Here is a 19,157-nt window from a genome sequence, read left to right on the forward strand (position 1 = left end):
ACTCCGTCTCAAACAAAAACAAAAACAAAAAAAAAACATATACTATATCTATAATGGGCTTTAATCTAGCTTCGTATTTGAGAGGAAAAATGATACATTTCCAACGTCCAGTATACTTTCTTTGTAGCTCCTCTCTGGGCCAAGAAAAGATGTATAGCTTTACTTTGAAATATCTGCCTGCTTTGCTTCTGATAATTACTCAGACTGTGTCTCCTTCCCAAGATGAGCAGCCTCGATATAAGTATGTAAGACTATATGCCACTAGATGATGTCACATAGCCTTTATTACAATAGCAAAATTCTATGCCAGGTACTGTTCTAAGTGCTTTGCATACATTAACTCATGTAGTCCCCATATTATACCCATTTTACAGATGGGGAAACCGAAGCACAAAGCGGTTACTTGGCTTGCCTAAGGCCATAGGAGGACTGTGTTGGAGCTGGGGGTCCAATCCAGTAAATCTGCCTTCAAGGTCTGCGTTAGTTCCCCAGTCCAACTTGTGGGTGCTGGAGACTGGAAATATCTTGCCCGCCCCCCACCCTGGCCCCCCTCGCCCTTCCTACCAGACCTGGCTCAGGGCAACTGCTAAGGCCCCGCCCCTCTCCTCATTCCAAGTCAATCACTGGCGTGCGTCCAGGAAACCCAGTTTACGACGACGTCTCTGGTGCGTCACAGAGCGCGGGGGAGGGGCGGGATCACATTAAAAAAAAAAAAAAGCTTCGGACACCCCAACAACGAAGGGGGGACACCACGTCCCTAACTACAACGCCACTAGAAGGGTTGCGCATGCGCGCCAGCCTCCTGCGCAGCCGCAGAAACCACTCAGCGCGCGAGTCTCTGAAAGGCCTAACGTCCATTTTCAATCCTGCGGGTCTTGCGAAGGAAAACCTGAGGTAAGAGGCCCCGCCCCACAGCCATCTCCTCAGCAAATTCCCGCCCTCGGCCCCGCCCCACAGCTATCTCCTCAGCAAATTCCCGCCCTCGGCCCCGCCCCACAGCCATCTCCTTAGCAAATTCCCGCCCTCACCCAAGGACTGGGAGAGCACCCGCGGATTGGCCGATCAACGGTGACGCCTGTCAGTGGCCAGACTCCGATTGGTCAGCGGGTAGTCCCGCCCCCCCCCCCCCCCCCCCCCCCCCCAACCGCGAGTGTGGGAATTCGGCGTCGCGGGAGCTCTCTGATCCACTCAGGGGTCAGGGCATCACTGGTCTCGCGTGCGCGTGACCAGGCCCGGTTTCCGGTGCCAGGACCTTTCCGAAGCGTCGAGTGGCCTAACGGTCACAGCTGTCGCCCATCGGAGAGGCAGGACTACTGCGAGCAGTTTTACCGCGACCTCCGGAGGCCGGCGTGACAGGCTCTGTCACTAAAATAGGTCTGTCCAGTCGTACTTTTTCCTCACCTTGAACTTTCCGTCACGGGAATACACGATTTGGCTTAGGGGCCGGGGCTCTCCTGAGGAGAGAGGGTTTGCTTTGCGGGGAAGAGCGAGTCTTGACTTCGCAGCCTCCAATTTCAGCCGCGGTGTGGAGGGGGGTGCTTTGGGTGGTCCCCACAGCCTTTCCGGAGTGCCCGCGCGTGTAAGCTTTTGAGATTTGACAATTTGTGAAGTGCTTGGTGCTGACTTTCGGGGACGACAGGATCCTTTTACAGTCATTCTCCTGTCAGGGGAGGCAGGTGGGGAGCGAGGAAGGATCCAGATTTCGTTAACAGAGCTTTGAGTTTAAAGAATTGACAAACTCCCGAGTTGATTTCCTGTCAGACCTTTTGCGGTTGAGACATAGAGTCTGAGGCTTTGATGGTAACCGCGTTTGATTTAGAGACAGACTGTGCAGCTTCGCTGTTTTATTGTAAATACGTAAATGAGGAGGAAGAGAAAAACGTAGGGTGTTGGGAGCAGAGGCGGGAGGCGGGAGATCCTGCGAAATCGGAGTCCCTTTGGAGTGGGGGAGGCCGTCGAGGCGTGCGAGGGCCCGGCCCCCTTGCCGCGTGGTCGTTAACAGGAAAGGCCCTGATTTGGTTGGTGGCGGATCGCGTCCCTCCCTCCTCTCCCCGGCTCTCCCCGAGTGCGGCAAACTGGCTTCAGGTTGACTAAAAGATAGCGATTTTCCAAGCAGCTTTGCCGCGCGGTGTTTTCTAAAGCGGGGCGTGGGCTGGGTGCCCTTTTGGGCCTCACTTGTCCGGCCTGCGGCAAGTGCTGGGCGATGGGATGCGGTTCTGGCGGCAAAGGAAGGGCTGCCTTTGAGAGTCCCGCAGGAAGGTTTAGAAAGTGATTGTTCTTAAAACAAACAGAGCGTTTTGCTGTGTGTTCCTCAAAGTGGTCCCGGTGGGAGTGGCGCCTCATTGTGAGCTGTGCCTTATCTGATGAATTAATGGCAGGTGAAAGCCTTGCGCCTCCGGAGCGAATATTTACGACTTTTGAAAATGTCTTTAATGTCTAAAAAAAGTCTTTTAGAAAATCAGACGGCCTCTTGTTCTTATGTTATCAAGAGTTTAGATTTCTGTGGTAAATATAAGTGAGTTTCATTTTAAGTAAACTCATTTTACGAGATTTGAGATTTGAAAGTGAAATTAATTAATTTTGCACAATCTAGCCTTGGGCTCTGAGAAAATGTTGTAAAGCTGTAATTAATCTTGTGGGACGAAGTGAAAAGGAACTAAAGTGTATGGTGTAATGAATAGTTTAAATTTCTGTGGTAAATACAAGTGAGTTTCATTTTAAGTAAACTCATTTTTATGGGATTTGAGATTTAAAAGTGAAATTAATTAATTTCGCACAATCTAGTCATGGTTGGGCTCAGAAAATGTTGTAAAGTTGTGATTTATCTTATGGAAAGAAGTGAAAAGGAATTAAGGTATATGGTGTAATTAAGAGTTTAAATTTCTGTGGTAAATGCAAGTGAGTTTCATTTTAAGTAAACTCATTTTTACGGGATTTGAGATTTAAAAGTGAAATTAATTCATTTTGCACAGTGTAGTCATGGTTGGGCTCTGAGAAAATGTTGTAAAGCTGAAATTATTTATCTTGTGGGAAGAAGTGAGAAGAAACTAAAATGTGTGGTATTATCAAGAGTTTAGATTTCCGGGGTAAATATAAATGAGTTTCCTTTAAACTCATTTTTGTGGAATTTGAGGTTTAAAAGTGAAATTAATTTTGTAGAATCTAGTCATGGTTGGGCTCTGAGAAAATGTTGTAAAGCTGTAATTTATCTTGTGGGAAAAAGTGAAAAGGAACTTAAATTTATGGTGTTATCAAGAATTGGCCAGGCGCGGTGGCTCACACCTGTAATCCCAGCACTTTGGGAGGCCGAGGTGGGCAGATCACTTGAGGTCAGAAGTTCGGGACCAGCCTGGCCAACATGGTGAAACCCAGTCTTTACTAAAAGTACAAAAATTAACTGGGCATGGTGGTGCAAGCCTGTTACGCTAACTACTCGGGAGGCTGAGGGAGGAGAATTGCTTTAACCCGGGAGGCAGAGGTTGCAGTAAGCCGAGATCATGCCACTGCACTCCAGCCTGGGTGACAGAGTAAGACTCTGTCTCAAAAAAAAAAAAAAAAAAAAAAGAAATTTAGATTTCTGTGGTAAATATAAATGAGTTTCATTTTAAGTAAACTCATTTTGTGGGATTTGAGATTTAAAAATGAAATTAATTTTGCACATTCTAGTCATGGTTGGGCTCTAAGGCAATGTTGTAAAGCTGTAATTGTTTGCCTTATGGGAAGAAGTGAAAAGGAATTAAAATTTATGGTGTGTCTACTATGAACCAGGCATGATGCTGAGAGTTTAACTGTGTAATTTTTGGCCTAAATAGCCCTGTGAAGTAGATATTATTCCAACTTTACAGGTTAGAAAATTTGAGGCACAGAGAGGTGAAATATTTGCCTAAAGTGAAACGGCAAATTTGGCAATTTGGACTTGGATTCAAGTGTTTATAACTAAAGCCCAGCTCCTTGCATCATACCCTGGTACCTAAAAGACATAAAAACTCACTTCAGGTGCAATGTGAATGAAAATGACGTTATGACCCAGGCTTGTTGTCTATGTGCTCCTTGAGAAATAGTTCTGTTGGATAGATGCGGTCAATACTCAAAAGCCCTTGCTATCTTTGCCATGCATTACTCTAAGCACTTGACATGTATTAATTTAATCCTCACGATTCCGTGAGGTATGTGCTATTATCATTCCCATTTTACAGACAAAAAAAAAAAAGGATTTAAGTAAGTTGTTCAACTTACTTACACAGCTAGTATGTGGGGGAGGTGGGACCCAAACCCAGGTATTCTGACCACAAGCCTAAGGTCTTAATGCTGTTTGATGCTGCCTCTCATGTAACCAGATATGTGTGACAGTTGCCGTAGAAGTATTAAAGTGTGAGTGTTATTGTAGTTCAGGGAAAGCCGTGTCACATCCACATGGGATGATCATTGGCATGGTGCCCTTGCTTTTTGGAGGTGAAACTTGAAGTAAGCCTTGAAGTTGAATAGATTCTCCTAGGCGGAGACACAACAGGGTATTATGGACGGAGGGCATAACAGGAGCGAGAAGCTCAAAGAGTGAAAGATTGGTGTTGATTTGTATATGTACCAGAGATGTAAACATGTTGGGAGTCCAGTGGTGGACTCACTGCACAGTGCTCCTGTGTCTAACTACAGCCAAATTTTGACAACATTGTTATTAATCCAAATAGGGAGTTCTCTGTTCTCTGGATGTAAGAGCTTGTAACCATTGTCTGCAAACTTGCCTGAAACAGGCTACACAGTAAATATTTTAGGCTTAGAACTGCTGTCCCCAGTCTTTTTGGCACCAGGAACCGGTTTTGGTTTTGTGGAAGACAATTTTTCCACAGATGCAGGGACGGGGGAGTGCTAGCGGGGTATAGTTTCCTAATGAAACTGTTTCATAAGGAGAGTGCAACCTAGATCCCTCGCATGTGCAGTTCACAATAGGGTTTGTGCTCCTGTGCGAATCTAATACTGCAGCTCATCTGACAGGAGGCGGAGCTCAGGCGATAATCCTTGCTAGCTCCTGCTGTGCTCCTAACAGGCCAAGGACCAGTACCAGGCGGTTGCCCAGGGGTTGGGGACCCCTGGCTTAGAGTAAAGGGGCAAGTGGTAAGAAGTGACCTCTGCGCAGTGGGCGGGGTCCTGATTATGGAAGGACCTTGCAGGCCATGGTAGGAGTTTGGATTTTACTGTGTTATTGGTAGCAAAGGTATACCAGGTGATTTTAATAATGAAGTAAAGTGCATAGAGTGTGGTGGTAGACTGCACCATTTACTAGCAATGGGACCTGGGCAAATTACTTAAATCAAGCTTGTCCAACCCGCCTTATTTTGTTGTTGTCGTCATTGTTGTTGTTCTGTTTTGTTTTGTTTTAGGCTTTCGGCAGCCTGAAGCTATGCTTTTTAGTTTCTGTCTCTAGGGATAAGTGGAAAAGAGGGATGAGGAAGGGGCTTTCCTGGCCCAACCAGAAACAAACTAAGAACCCATGACTATATTCCCTCCCTTGGACACCCCTAGTAAACGTTCTTTGCTTCAGTTTCCTCATAAGGAAAATGAGGACAGTAATAGAACCTATCCCACAGGGTTGTCAGTAATTTAGCAAGATAGAATACCTAATCAAAGAATCAAAAGAAAGTACAAATTAAATTAGAAATAATAATTTTAAACTGTGGTTTTGCTAAAAATTCTGTAATTATGATGAAATGATTATCCTTCTGGATAAAAATAATTTGTCAAAACAACTCAAGAAAAAGTAGGATAATTTGACTAGATCATCAACCATGGAGGAACTTAGAAAATGTTATAAAAACTGGACCCAGAGAGTTTTTTTTATAAATTCAACCCTTTGAGCACAAAAATTGTCGTGCGATGTAAACTTTTTAGAGTATAGAAAGAGATGAAAGGCTTCCCAGCTAATTTTGCAGAGCAATTTTGATACCAAGTGTTAATAATGTAGCAATACAACACTGATTCATTAATTGTGAGAAATATACCATCTCACCAATGTAAGATCTTAGAAATAGAGATGCAAACAATTTCTAAATAAAACACCAACAAATTGAATGTTGTTGTTTATAATCAGCTGGACCCCTCACCCCAAGAACATTAAGAAATGTATTAATATGTTGCATCAGTAGATCAAAAGAGAAAAGTCACTTAGTCATCTGATGCCAAGAAGCTATTTGGTACTATGTATTATCTGTCCTGGTTTTAAAACTACATGCAGGACCAGCAGGATACTACCTTAGTTTATTTTGGAACATCTGGCTGACCCCAACAGCCCTCCTTAGTGGGAAGAAGTAGAGGAGAATTTTCAAACGTGGAGACCTATCCATTGTTTCTACCTCTAGGAATTTATCCCATAGAACTACTTGCACAGGTGCAAGACTGTTCTGCAGTGTTCTTTATAAGAGCAAAACTTTAGAAGTAACTTGAATATCTATGAATTGGGGGCTGTGTTTAATAAATCATGGCATATTTACAAGATAGAACACTAAGAAGTCGTTACAGTAACTACAGTAGACCTAAAAGTACTGGTTTGGAAAGACTCTTTCCACCACAGGTTAGTTTTGCCTGTTTTTGAGTTTAATATCAATTGAGTCATATACTGTACTCTTTTGTTTCTGGCTGTTTTTAAACCCAAGGTTATGGTTGTGAGATTCGGCCTTGCTGTATACAGCAGTAGTTGGTTTATTCTTATTGCTGCGAAGTTCCTTTATATAAATATACCACAATTTAATTACTGATAGCCTGTATAAGTTTTATGGTCAGAAAACTCAAATAGTTTAAAAAGTGAAATTTGATTGAAGTTACAGCCCCAATTAGAGAGGTATTTTATAACTTGATACTTCTATGCAACATTAGTCTGCGTTTATCTAACTCGAGTTAGTTCTCCCATCTTCTTTATCCCTTTTGATTTCTGTCTTTTGGGTTCATGGTCATTAGTATCTCCACTATAGAATGAAAGGGAAACAGGAAAGAGATGAAACCTGAATCTCTTAATTGTGCCTCTCATTACTGCTCTGGTTCAGAAAGGATAGGGTAGCTCTTTCATTAACGTACCCTTCCCAGTAACTGTGATGCAGACATTCAAAGCAAATTTCTAGTACAAGATATAATCCGATACTCTTGCAGCCAGTTTTCTAGTTCCATAGTAAAGTGACTCAGAGCCATAACCAAACCTTCCTAATTTTAGATTGTTTGGCTTACCTTTCACATCCACTTATTTAGGTTTAATATAAAATTTAATAAGGCAATCCTAACTTGAAAGTTGAAATGGACCTTAGAGATCATCTCAACTGGTGTTCGAAACCTGGTGGATGAGGAGGTGGTGTCTCTTGTGGTCCGCCCAGCCCACATAGTCGGGGGGGACCCAATCCAGAATAGACTCCTGGCTTACATTTTGGAGGCAATGCTTTCTCCTTAGTCAAGAGCCTTTTGGAGCTCCTTTACAAAAGCAGTTAGCCCTTGCGTTCTCTTGTTCATTTGTTTCCAGCATTTACTCTGTAGGCTTTAAGTTACTAAGCAGTCACTTCACAGTTTGTAATTGTGTTTGATTTGATTCTTATTTCTAGTCATGAGCAATATGGCCCTTCAGTTTTGAAAGATTTATTCTAAATTGGCCATGGAAGAATTCTGGTTTTGTCACTCTCTAAAATTCAACCCAAAGTCCAATTCTATTTGAGTTAGCATTCTGAGAGTATATCCATATTATTAAGGTAGTAAGTGTATGAAGTAACTTTTTTATGCGTTGCTTTTCAGGAGTAGAGGTTTACCACTCTTAGGTGACTAAGCAGTATCACAAATAAACCCTCCAGCAAGTTTAAAAATAATTAGGTCCAACTCAGAGGAAGTGGAGTTTCTCCTGTTGCACAAAAATGATGTCTAACAGCTCCAGTGAAATCGATGTGGTTTGTATTCAAATTGAAAATCTGTCTTTGTTCTTTTTACTGTGCTATACTTCTACTCTAAATTTAGTTTAATTTTATACAGTGAAATGCATAGATCATAAGTAAATTTTTGTTATATATTTTAACAGTAATATATAAAGCTCTTGTGACAATTTGTGTACAAGTTTCTTTGTGAACACACACTTAAATTTCTTTTGGGTGAACAGACAGAAGTTGAATTACTAGGTCATGGAGTTCATGTGAATTTAACTCTGTGAGAATCTGCCATACAGTTTTTCAAAGTGGTTGTGCTGTTTTTACATTTCTGTTATATTCTTCTATATTTCTTCATCCTTCAAGTTGAATCAGTATGTAGATTATTAAACTATAAATAATTTGGCTTAACAGAAAACACCTTTTTTTTAGTCACATAAGGACATAGATATTAATGCTACCTAAGTAGTCTAGGCAATTCTCTTAACTACTGTCAGTCCTAATGTTTTTCAAAAATCTTTGGAGATAATGTTAACTGCCTATCAAGAGTCATTTTTCTCTGACATAACTATGTAAAAGCACTTTGAAAAGCATAAGGCACTATACAAGGGTAAGATAGTATATTTTTAAAAGTACTGAACTGTAACCCAATTCCATATGTTTTTGTGATTTCTGTCATGTATTTTGAAACAAAAACATACATAGCTACCAAGTATGTTTATTATAAAATTATTCCCATAGTTCATAATTCATTCTTAGAATGAAGAGTTATTATACTGAAGTGTAATGGCTATTTACTCCTTACTTATTTATACCCTGTCTTATTTTTAAAAGTTTTAAGGTACTTTAGAGATTAATGTATCAAGAAAAATAGGTGCTCAAATGTTTTCTGTCTTGTCCACAGAGGGGCACTGTTGGATTATTTAGAAATCAAAAAACATGTAACATTTATTTCTTTGTTCATGGTTAGAAATATTTGCTTTTAAAGTATTTCTGGTGCTAAAGGACTAGTCTTTCTACCATGAAGCATATAAAGGGTTAAGCTCAGTGAAAACTGTTGTCTTAAGTGTAGTTGGGTTAATGAGAACACAGTTCTGCAAATACATCTTTTCATGTAGTCATAGTATTTACAGTGAGCAAAGGTCCTTTGATATCACAAATAGGCCTTTGTAACAGCCTCTTGAAAGTGAAATTAAACCCTCAACTTTTCTTTTAGTTCTGTCTTTCATCTTCCCTTTTAATTTGTTGGTAAATTTTCCTCAGATAAAAACAAGAATACCTACTTACGATGAAGATGACAACACTATTCTTTATGCGTATGAAACAAAACCTGAATTTGTCAATAAAGTATGTTAATTGCTAATTGCCAAATATATTAACATTTGCTGTTTTAAAGGAAAAGATGTAAATTCCTCGTATACTATGGAGTTCCCGTAAACTCACACTCAAGAAAATATCTCTCCCCTGAATTTGTATGCTTGCTTTCATCAGAGAATGAGCACTTAACCAATTTACTTTCCCCTTTTTCTTATATAGTAGAAAATTAAGAGCAGTTTTGTACTCACTTTCAGTATAAAACTCTAAACCTGGATTCTTCTGATATAATAAATTCTTTTCTTGCCCCCTTCCTCAATTGTCAGTTTTTCATTCTCATATTAATGTGAATTTTAAAAATCTCTGCTTAATTTAAGACTTCTGAAACCCCTTGAAAAGTTGGTGATAAATAAAAACAATTTAAATAAATAAATATAGCTCCCCCCTGCCCCCAGTGTTCAGTTTGGCTGTTACAGAAATAAATCATTAACTACTTTTAAAATATTAGCAGGAACCGAATATTGTATCTGACGCATCCTGTAATACTGAAGAGCAACTGAAGACAGTTGATGATGTCCTTATTCATTGCCAGGTATGGAAGTTCTGTCTCTTCAATGTAGTTTTCTAAAATGTTAAGCAAAAATTCTCTTTATCTCACATAAAGGGAAAGTGTACAATTAATTGAAATTTTGCCTATCAATTTATTTATGATTATCATCCCATTGTGATGATTTTTTAAAACAATTTATAGTTAGAACCACATTTCCTGAATAGCAACATGTAGATTTAATAGCTTTTTAAAAAGCCCATTACCAACCAAATGTAGTTATGTCTCTTTCATCTACATTGCTCAGTATTAAATTAGTTTCCCCTACAAAATCCTTAAAGGAAATTGACTGATTTGGATGAAATTTAGTATGTGCCTAAATGCACATCAAGATATCTCAATGGAAACAAAGTGGCAGCCCATCAAGGTTTAGTAAAGAAACATACCTAAGGTAGTTTTGAGGAGTTGTTTTAAGAATCACCATGTTGGTAGAGATGTGATTACTGGGAATTTTGTGAGTTGCATACCCCAGAGGTAATGAAGGTTTATATATATATAATGTTTCTTACCATATATAAGGTTTCTTGAATGGAATGAGCTAACATACTTTGGAAAGTAAAATTGTTTGGGTGTTTATCATGATCATGGAGGAGAACAGAAGTGGAGTGCTTCCAAGGGACACATACAGTCTTGGGGGGAAGTGGGTGCAGAGGCGAGCTGGGAAGGGAGGGAGCAGGTTCTCCCCAGCCTGCCTCCCCATGCACTGCTAGGTCATGGTCTAGGTCAGCTTATACGCTGAGGTGGGAGGTAGCATCTGTGGGGGGAGGTGTCCAGGGCCATGGTCAGCCTGAAATGGCCCCAAGGGCCCCTCTCCATTGCTGCCAAGGGGCTGGCTCTTTCTTCCCCTACCCGTTCTAGATCACAGAGGTGGCACTCCAGCCTGCCTTGTTCTTTCATCCCAGTTCCCTCTTGAGTCTGTCTCCATCCTGCTTAGTCTGGAAGCAGAGGAAGACCTCGCCATCCCCTGCCTACCTCAGCTCCCTAGTCCTGCCTCTTCACTCGTGGAGATAGTGGAGCACCTGGGGCAGTCCTCTCCTCCGAGTCCTCATAACTGTCCCCACAGCCAACCAACTGCCCTCATCCCTGCCCTTCTTCTGACCCCTTCCCGGCCATTCTAGTGACCAGGGCTGACACCCTTGCTGCTTTCTGCATCTAGTCCCCTCCCTGAACTCAGAGCTGCCCCCCATCGGGCATCCCCCTCTCTCTCCTCTGGCTCCAGTCCCTGTCCCTCCTTCCCCTCTACGAGTTCTCCCACATCTTGGAGAAGCCACTTCTCTTGCTTCCCATCCCTCCTTTCCTGTCATCCTCACTCTCTTCTTCCTGTGACAGCCCCACTCCTGGAATGTCATTCATACTTGCTGTCTCCACACCTGGCTTCCTGTTTTTCTCTCTGGGTATTTATGAACCTGCTGTTCCTTCTATGCTGTAAGCCCTTCCATGCATCCTCACCTGGCGAGGGCCTTCTCATGTTTTAATTCTCACTTCAGACCTCACCTCCTCTGAAAAGGTCTCCGTGACTGCAGCCTGGGTTAGGACTGCTTTTCTGTGCAGGCTTAGCCTCCTGTTCCCACCTGTGTCACGCCACTGGTAATAACAATAGTAACATGAAGAGACCACTGAGCACTGTTGGACCGGGTGTAGTGTAGTGCTGTTACTGTTAGTATTAACCTAATACTATAGCAAGGTTCTCGTCCTCGAGAGAACCCTGAGAGAGCTTTTCATCCTGATTCCCTACATGAGGACACTGAAGCACAGAGAGGTTAAGTAACTTGCCCTGGGTCACACAGCCAATAAGTGGCTGGACTGTAGTATTTGACCCCAACCATGTTCCCCAAGAGCCTGCACTGTTTATCTCAGTGCCGCAGCCCTGTGGTTCTCACTAGGGCCATCAGAATCACCTGGGGGGCTTGTGAAAACATAGACCACTGCCCCCACTCTCAGAGTTCCAGGTTCCATAGGTCTGGGGTACAACCTGGCATTTGGCATTTCTGATGAGCTTACAGGTGATGTTGATGCTACCAGTCCGTGGACCACACTTTGCAAACCACTGTTCCAGGCTGTTTATCACTTTGTCTGCTGGAATCCTCTTTTTACTTGTCTCTCTCCCAGCTGAGATGGTAGTTCCTCTAGGACAGGCTGGAGTGCAGTGGCTCAGTCATGGCTCACTGCAGCCACAACTTCCCAGGCTCAGGTGATTCTCCCACCTCAGCCTTCCTAGTAGCATGGACTACAGGCATGCACCACCACGCTTGGCTGATTTTGTGTATTTTTGGTAGAGACGGGGGTTTCGCCATGTTGCCTAGGCTTGTCTCCAACTCCTGAGCTCAAGCGATTCACCTGCCTTAGCCTCCCAAAGTGCTGGGATTACAGGCATGAGCCACCGCACCCGGCCAGGAGCTTTTTTTTTCGGTCCATGTTCTCAATACCTAGCAAAGTAGTTCTGCCAGGTGGTAGGCCATCAATAAAGGTTTAGTTGAATGAGTGAATGAATGAATGAATGAATGAATGAGGAAATGTTTCTGGCCCTTTGTTTAAGTGTATTTTTCTTTGCCCAAAGTTTCTGTGTATTTCAAGAAGAATTCTCAGATTTTTATCAGCCTCCTATGTGCTTGATTGCAATGTTTCTGGCCCTTTGCTTAAGTGTATTTTTCTTTGCCCAAAGTCTCTGTGTATTTCAAGAAGAATTCTCAGACTTTTATCAGTCTCCTATGTGTTCGATTGGCGCGTAAGAGATGTGTACTTAACGGTTTTGTAAGATTAATTGCTGACTGCGTGATTTAAAAATACTTTGAAGCCAAAAGTCACATCTGTTATATTTGGTTCAGTGTTCTTTCTGGAGTGGAACACTCACTGTCTGTATATAATATAGACTTCATATTTGTACATATATGAACATATATGTTACATATGTATATCATAAAGTGAGTCTTTGTTCTTTTAGCAGATTTCTTTCCTAAAATAGCACCTTCCTTGATGTGCAGTGTCTTCATCATCAATGTGCTAGCATAGAGGCATTGTGGGACATTCATTCACCAGCATTAGAGCTTCCTCAATTCCTACATGGAGTAGAGCAGGGGAGGGGACTACTCTAGCTCAGCCTGTTGGCTCTGTGTCACCTACAGCCAGGCCTTGAATAGGAGCAAGACATTTCTGATGGCTTGAGAACTTTTGTTGTGTCTAGCAGTTAACATTTGACTTAATGGTATTTTCACGTTACTTTTCTTTGAAATAAAAAATTATATTTTACATTGTATACCAATTATATGACTACATTGTATTATAATAGGTTATATATGATGCTCTGCAAAACCTGGATAAGAAGATTGATGTGATTCGTAGAAAGGTTTCAAAAATCCAACGTTTCCATGCGAGATCCCTGTGGACAAATCATGTAAGTGTTATAAAAAACATTTTTACAACTGTGATAAACCTCTGGTTTGTAAAGATGCCAATGAGCTAGAAGTGAGAGAGTACCAGTATCTGTGTGAGATTAGCAAGGCATGTCTATACTTGTAACAGTAGATGGAGACTAAACTCTGTTGGGAGAACGCTGAAGTTTAGGTTTGATAATTTATGATGCTGCCTATTTTTATGTTTGTAATTATAATGTGTAAAATACAATTAAAATGTAGGATTGAAGAATTATATAATCAAAAGGGACCATTTATTTTTAATAATGTAAAGCAATGTTGCATGGAAAATAAGTATTAATGTATTTGCTACTAATTTTATTTACTTTTTTACTCACTGTTGGTTTATGCTGTGTTTGTGTGATTTCAGAAGCGATATGGATATAAAAAGCATTCTTACCGGCTTGTTAAAAAGCTTAAACTCCAGAAAATGAAGAAAAATGAGGTTTACGAGACATTCTCCTACCCTGAAAGTTACAGCCCCACTTTACCAGTGTCAAGGCGTGAGAATAATTCCCCGAGCAACCTTCCAAGGCCATCCTTTTGCATGGAAGAATACCAGCGAGCTGAGCTGGAGGAGGACCCGATCCTCAGCCGCACTCCGAGTCCAGTGCATCCCTCAGATTTCTCTGAGCATAATTGTCAGCCGTATTATGCATCTGATGGTGCAACGTATGGTTCTTCTTCAGGGCTCTGCCTTGGCAACCCTCGGGCTGACAGCATCCACAACACTTACTCAACTGACCATGCTTCTGCAGCACCACCTTCAGGTATGCTGGCCCAGGGAGAGCCCAATTTGGTACATGCCCCTGAGATGATGAGTTACTCAGCTTTGATGGAGAATAGGTATACTGGATCATCTCTCTGCTTCCCTTCTGGTTTGGTGAGTTTGAAATGCCATATTTACAAGTAGCACTATTTGACCTATATTTATCAACATCCTTGATGCAAACTAGTGGAAGCTGTTCGTTTCCTATTTTGAGGGCTGGTTTTAGGTGATATTCAGAATGATGACTAACATTTATTCAATGCATATTATGTGCAAGGCACTGCACCAATCAGCTGACATGCCTCTTCTCCACTTATACTCATAATGACCCCATGGTTTTGGCACATTTATTACGCCATCCCCACGATCACAGAGCTGGTGAGTAGCACTTCTAGAACTCTGCCCCATTGTGCTTTTCCAAATCTTCTATTTTTATTTACCCTTTCCCTAGATAAATAAAAAACACTCCTGATATGGCAAGAGCCCAGATGGTAGGGAAGAAAGGGTATGTTTTTGGCTAATTCACACACACAAAAAGATCAAATTGTGTTGATGGTCCTGGTTGGAGAAACAAATTTTCCTAACTAATTACAAAACCCACTTTAGTCATCACACACTAATTTTAGGGAGTCTAACACTGTGGGTGAGTAAAAGGATACTTGTCAGTACACAAAGAAATTTCAACACAACTTAGTGTAGAGCATAGCTAAAACTTTCTGAAGTATGAGCAGTTAAACTGTCTCATATCTCAGTTATTTTTTAAACATATAAACCTTTGACCAAAATCTCTATTACTATGCAATTAAACATGAAAGAGGAATTAAATAAAATGTTAGTTACTTCTGACCTAGTTCAGCAGAAAATAATCTTGTTTTCTTCACAATGCACATTAGCACTTAAGCCACGAGAGACAGGAATCTAAAAAGTAAAGCGATACTAAAAATAACCTTATTGAATACGTGGGGAAGATTTGATAAAAGTACTAATTTGGTTCTTAAAGATAATGGGGTTGTTATTGAGATTCATTGATTAAAAGGAACAAATTTAAGCAATTATAAAACTGTAAATTTGGAGAATTTCCATTATATTTTGCTAGTAAAATTAACCTAATCTAGATAGATTAAGAGAGAAATTCCTTGAAATACTTGAAGAGAGTCATAGGTTAGGTTAGATTAACCTAATTTTACCCAAGTGACAGATCTTTTGCCATATTTGCCTGTGGCCAAAGAAGACTTGGTTTACTTAGTCTGTTTTGTGATCTTTGAAACTTTAATGTAACTTCTGAACCAGCTTTTGCTATTTAGGGGAGGTCAGATGGGACACTCTTGTGTAGGCATCCCCACATCATCTTTATATAGGCTTTCACTAGATTTTACAGTTGGAGTCTTGACTCCTTGCTAGGAACATCACAGAAGGTTCCAACAAAGAGAGCATTCCTCCTTACCTAACATCTCTTCTTTCAGGATAATGATCAGGTCGAGTGTGATTTGTCTTTTTTTTCTTTTCCCCCTCTCCATTGAAGTTACAAGGTCACCAGTTGAAAATGACGGTTACATAGAGGAAGGAAGCATCACTAAGCACCCTTCAACCTGGTCGGTGGAAGCAGTGGTCCTATTTCTAAAACAAACAGATCCTCTTGCATTATGCCCTCTTGTCGACCTCTTCAGAAGCCATGTAATGTATCTTTTGATCCTGTTTTCCTGCTGTAATGCCTTTGAATGACCTCTGTGCAGGTCTTTCAGTTGGATACTGTGTGAATGGTGGGAGAACCCTATTAGCTGATTTTTCCATATATGAGAAAGCTTATTTTGCCCAAGGTTAGCCTTAAATGGTAGGCTAATGGTCTGTTCTTTAAATGGGTGTAGAAGTGCCTAAAATACAAACTGCCTCAGCTTCTTAAGACATGATGATTCAGCATGGCCACTCAGGTGTACCTCCCCTTTGTAATGACAGATACAAAGATCCTCCCCCTATCTGCTCCCAGCTGGGCACCAGGACCACGAGGAGGAGGGGGTAACCACAAGCTATAACAGGGTGGCCTTCGTTTTATATAACCAGTGATTCAACAACTGATTCCATTTGCCTCGATTATTGATGATTTGTAATGCTAATACCCTCTTGCTATTATCAGACCATTTACAAAGTAATATCCTAGGCCGAAGTTTTGTAAGTTCTAGTTTCTTTAATTTTGAGTTTTACTTAGTAGAAAAAGTATAGAAGGTGCCAAACAAAGGTTGTACTATAAGGGATTTCAGACCTTTTCAGATAGTGTTAAATGAGTAAATAAAATTTTATTTTTTAACTGGAACATATAAAACCAAATCATATGCTTCAGCAGCATAAGTTGATCAATTAAGATAAGGAATTTTAGGAGAATGCTTTGTGACTATGTTTTATTTATTCAGATATTTTCACAGTGTGTCCTAACAAAATTAGTAGCCACATATCTGATTTTTAATATAGTAAGAAAATTGGTGATTAGTTTTAGCATCTAATTAGTTTCAGACAACTAATTGGCATTCATCATAAAGACAACATTGTATAGACATTTACAGTTTGCACTGATGTTGACGTACTCATCTTCCCAGCCCTTCTCAGAAAGTTAATGAACATCTGAAATTCATTTTTACTATTCATAGTCTTTACTATTTTGTCATGGATGTGTAGTATTTTATTCAACATACAGTATATATTTAAAATTAAGTTTGACACAGTTTATTTTTTAAGATATTATGTTAAATTTCCTTTTTCTCAGAACTTGAAATGAGTTTATACATTACCAAACGGTGCTTCACTGTACAAGTTATATTTTTAATAGTTTTCATAAAGTAGACGCATATTCAGAGAATATACATCTGCAATGAGCTGCTCTCTAGTTTGCTTTACATGTTCTCATAAAGAACTAACCATTCTGATGAAAATATGGAAGCATTATTAATTATCGTTAAGTTTCTTCTCTCCATAGGAAATTGACGGGAAGGCTCTGCTCCTACTCACGAGTGACGTGTTGCTGAAGCACTTGGGGGTGAAGCTGGGAACGGCTGTGAAGCTATGCTACTACATTGACCGACTTAAACAAGGAAAATGCTTTGAAAATTGAAAAAATCCTTGTGCAAATTTAGATTGGGCCAACTTCTAGAGGCACCAATGCCTTCTTAGTGTGGAATCATTTTTCTGCCCTTTAGTCGTTTTTGTTTTGTAGAAAGTATCTCTCAAAATATATTATAGCTAGAATTGTAGAACTATGTTATAGTCCAGTCTACTTCTTTAAAAACCATTTAAACTGCTAGATAGTATTAGAATAGTCCAATAGAAAATTCATTCTTTATAGGTCTTTAAAAATTACTTTTATTATATTGTTTACAAATATATTTCATGCAAGAAACAGAAAAAAAAAAAAACCCTTTGATTCTGGTTCATCTCGATACAGAGAACCAAAACAGCTAAGAGAGGTATTATCAGGGTTGACAACTCCTATGATTGAATCTATGGGAATTATTCCTCAGAAGAGAATTTAAAGGTGTACCCATATATATCTCTTTCTGGAGTATTTTATCTGTCTGATGTTGCAGTATTCTACAAGTTTCCAGAAAGAGAATAGCCATATAAATTATTTTCCTTTCTGCTATTATTTCTCTATATGTTTTATTTATTCAGATTTAGAGTAAAAAATAAGCATATAAACTTTTATTATGTGCTCTTAACAGTTTTAAGATAAACTATAGGATAGATAGAATGGTTATTTTATGCAAGAAATATTGTACCGCAAGGGTGGTTTGGATGAAGTCTGACTACTTTTTTTCAAACAAACTATTATATTAAAACTGTCATATTTTGGCTAAGTTTGGACCTATAACTACACTTTCATTGTTTGCATCTCTCTATGAAGATACGTCTGTCCAAACTTTTAAAAGGCATAACTGTATTTTATGTGTTTATTCTTTATATAGATAGTATTTTATATTTTATTCTCACCCGAAGTATTCACACAATCTTTTTAAAAAAAATTTGAAATGGCATTTTGTATTGCCACAGAGGTAGGATGAGCCATATATTAGTGAAATGTTTTATTTTGTAAAATATAAATGGATTATTTGCCATCATTAGTACCTCTCAACTTACTTTTTAGAGGACAAGAAACAATCTGTAGATTGGTTTCCATACAGGGAAGTTCTCCGTCCTATGCAATGTTTCTAATTAATTTGCTTAATTCTGAGCCATTAATCCTGCTACACTTTGAATGATACATTAATTCAGACTAATCTTTGGGGGCTTTATTTTGTAAGTTAGAACTTTCAAGGGAAACATGTTCAACACTATTATTTTGTTATAAATTTATAACTTTGTTATTACATTGTGTAACAAATATAAGGTTTACGAGCTATGAGAATTGGTGCTATCACCATTAGCTATTTGCTGTAATGTCAAGAAAATGTTCACCAGATGCAAGAATGTACCTTTTCTTTTTAGAAAGCCAAATGTACTTTAGACATGAATGCAACTATTTAAAGAATAGCTTCATCAATGTTATTCCTTACATGTCATAAGATTCTTACTTAAACTTGGTCTTCTTTCAAATTGTTTGTATGAAGATGCTGTACCCACTTGAACAGTCCTCAGGTGTTTACATAAATACTATGTTTTACAGTTTTCATATTTTAAAATATTAATAAAGTTAAATCACAATAGTTCATTGAAAGCCTCAGATGTGATTTCATTTATCATCACTGTATTACATTAATGTGTGTATTTGTTGTAATGTGTGAACTGAAACAGAGCCACTCTAGTAAGCTTGTGGCTTTCCATGTCCAAATACTTGAGTTTTAAAACCTGCCCAGATTCTACTGCTAAACAGATGCCTAAGAGCCAAGGGCTGATTTCTTACAGGGGTCTTCAATGAGACCCCAGGGGGGCTGTAAGAAGTTCAGTCGATGAGCTGTATCTGTACTCAGAGCCTTTGTTATTTATGATATCATCAGTGATGCGAGAGTGCTAGAAAATGCCCGTGCCCCGAGATACCTCATCCCATCTGAGCCTGTACGCCTGGCTGGCAACTCCGGCTGCTCTTTTACCACTGGGGGCCAGAGGCCGCCTCCTGGATGCACCTGCTCTTGGCCCTCTGCCTTCAGATGGCCCAGCTGCCCCGGTGGGATGCCCTTGGAGGACTGGGG

At 40.0% G+C, this 19,157-nt stretch overlaps 1 protein-coding gene across 13 annotated transcripts, besides 1 other annotated feature; it reads left to right on the top strand.

Moving 5' to 3' along the window:
* SCML1 (Scm polycomb group protein like 1) lies at positions 822-18,679 on the top strand. 13 transcript variants are annotated; one of them, XM_047442348.1, is made up of 8 exons: positions 822-894; positions 7,765-7,913; positions 9,150-9,233; positions 9,709-9,792; positions 13,094-13,198; positions 13,588-13,987; positions 15,509-15,660; positions 16,952-18,679. In XM_047442348.1, the coding sequence occupies exons 2-8, from the start codon at positions 7,881-7,883 to the stop codon at positions 17,084-17,086; spliced, it is 993 nt and encodes a 330-aa protein (XP_047298304.1). In that variant the 5' UTR covers positions 822-894; positions 7,765-7,880; the 3' UTR covers positions 17,087-18,679. The 13 variants fall into 13 exon arrangements, with proteins under 13 accessions (XP_047298304.1, XP_047298306.1, XP_047298305.1 ...); XM_005274578.3 differs by lacking the exon at positions 822-894 and adding an exon at positions 1,187-1,374; NM_001037540.3 differs by lacking the exon at positions 822-894 and adding an exon at positions 1,187-1,374 and having other exon boundaries at positions 9,712-9,792.
* Positions 13,479-14,678: an enhancer, noted in NCBI's record as "MED14-independent group 3 enhancer chrX:17767905-17769104 (GRCh37/hg19 assembly coordinates)". NCBI's record gives its function as "activates an origin of replication core promoter dependent on BRD2, BRD4, P300/CBP and CDK7 cofactors, and independent of MED14, by STARR-seq in HCT116 cells {active_cell/tissue: HCT116}" and the evidence as "EXISTENCE:reporter gene assay evidence [ECO:0000049][PMID:35650434]".
* Positions 18,680-19,157: the final 478 nt, after the last annotated feature.

The sequence above is a fragment of the Homo sapiens genome, chromosome X, assembly GCF_000001405.40.
Source record: "Homo sapiens chromosome X, GRCh38.p14 Primary Assembly".
Classification (NCBI taxonomy): domain Eukaryota; kingdom Metazoa; phylum Chordata; class Mammalia; order Primates; family Hominidae; genus Homo; species Homo sapiens.

Bases quoted from the DNA above. Each gene is read 5' to 3' on its own strand.
- SCML1 (XM_047442348.1), top strand. From the start codon at position 7,881: ATGATGTCTAACAGCTCCAGTGAAATCGATGTG. The intron at 7,914-9,149 runs GTTTGTATTCAA...AATTTTCCTCAG, and splicing joins GCTCCAGTGAAATCGATGTG to ATAAAAACAAGAATACCTAC. The intron at 15,661-16,951 runs GTAATGTATCTT...TTCTCTCCATAG, and splicing joins TCGACCTCTTCAGAAGCCAT to GAAATTGACGGGAAGGCTCT.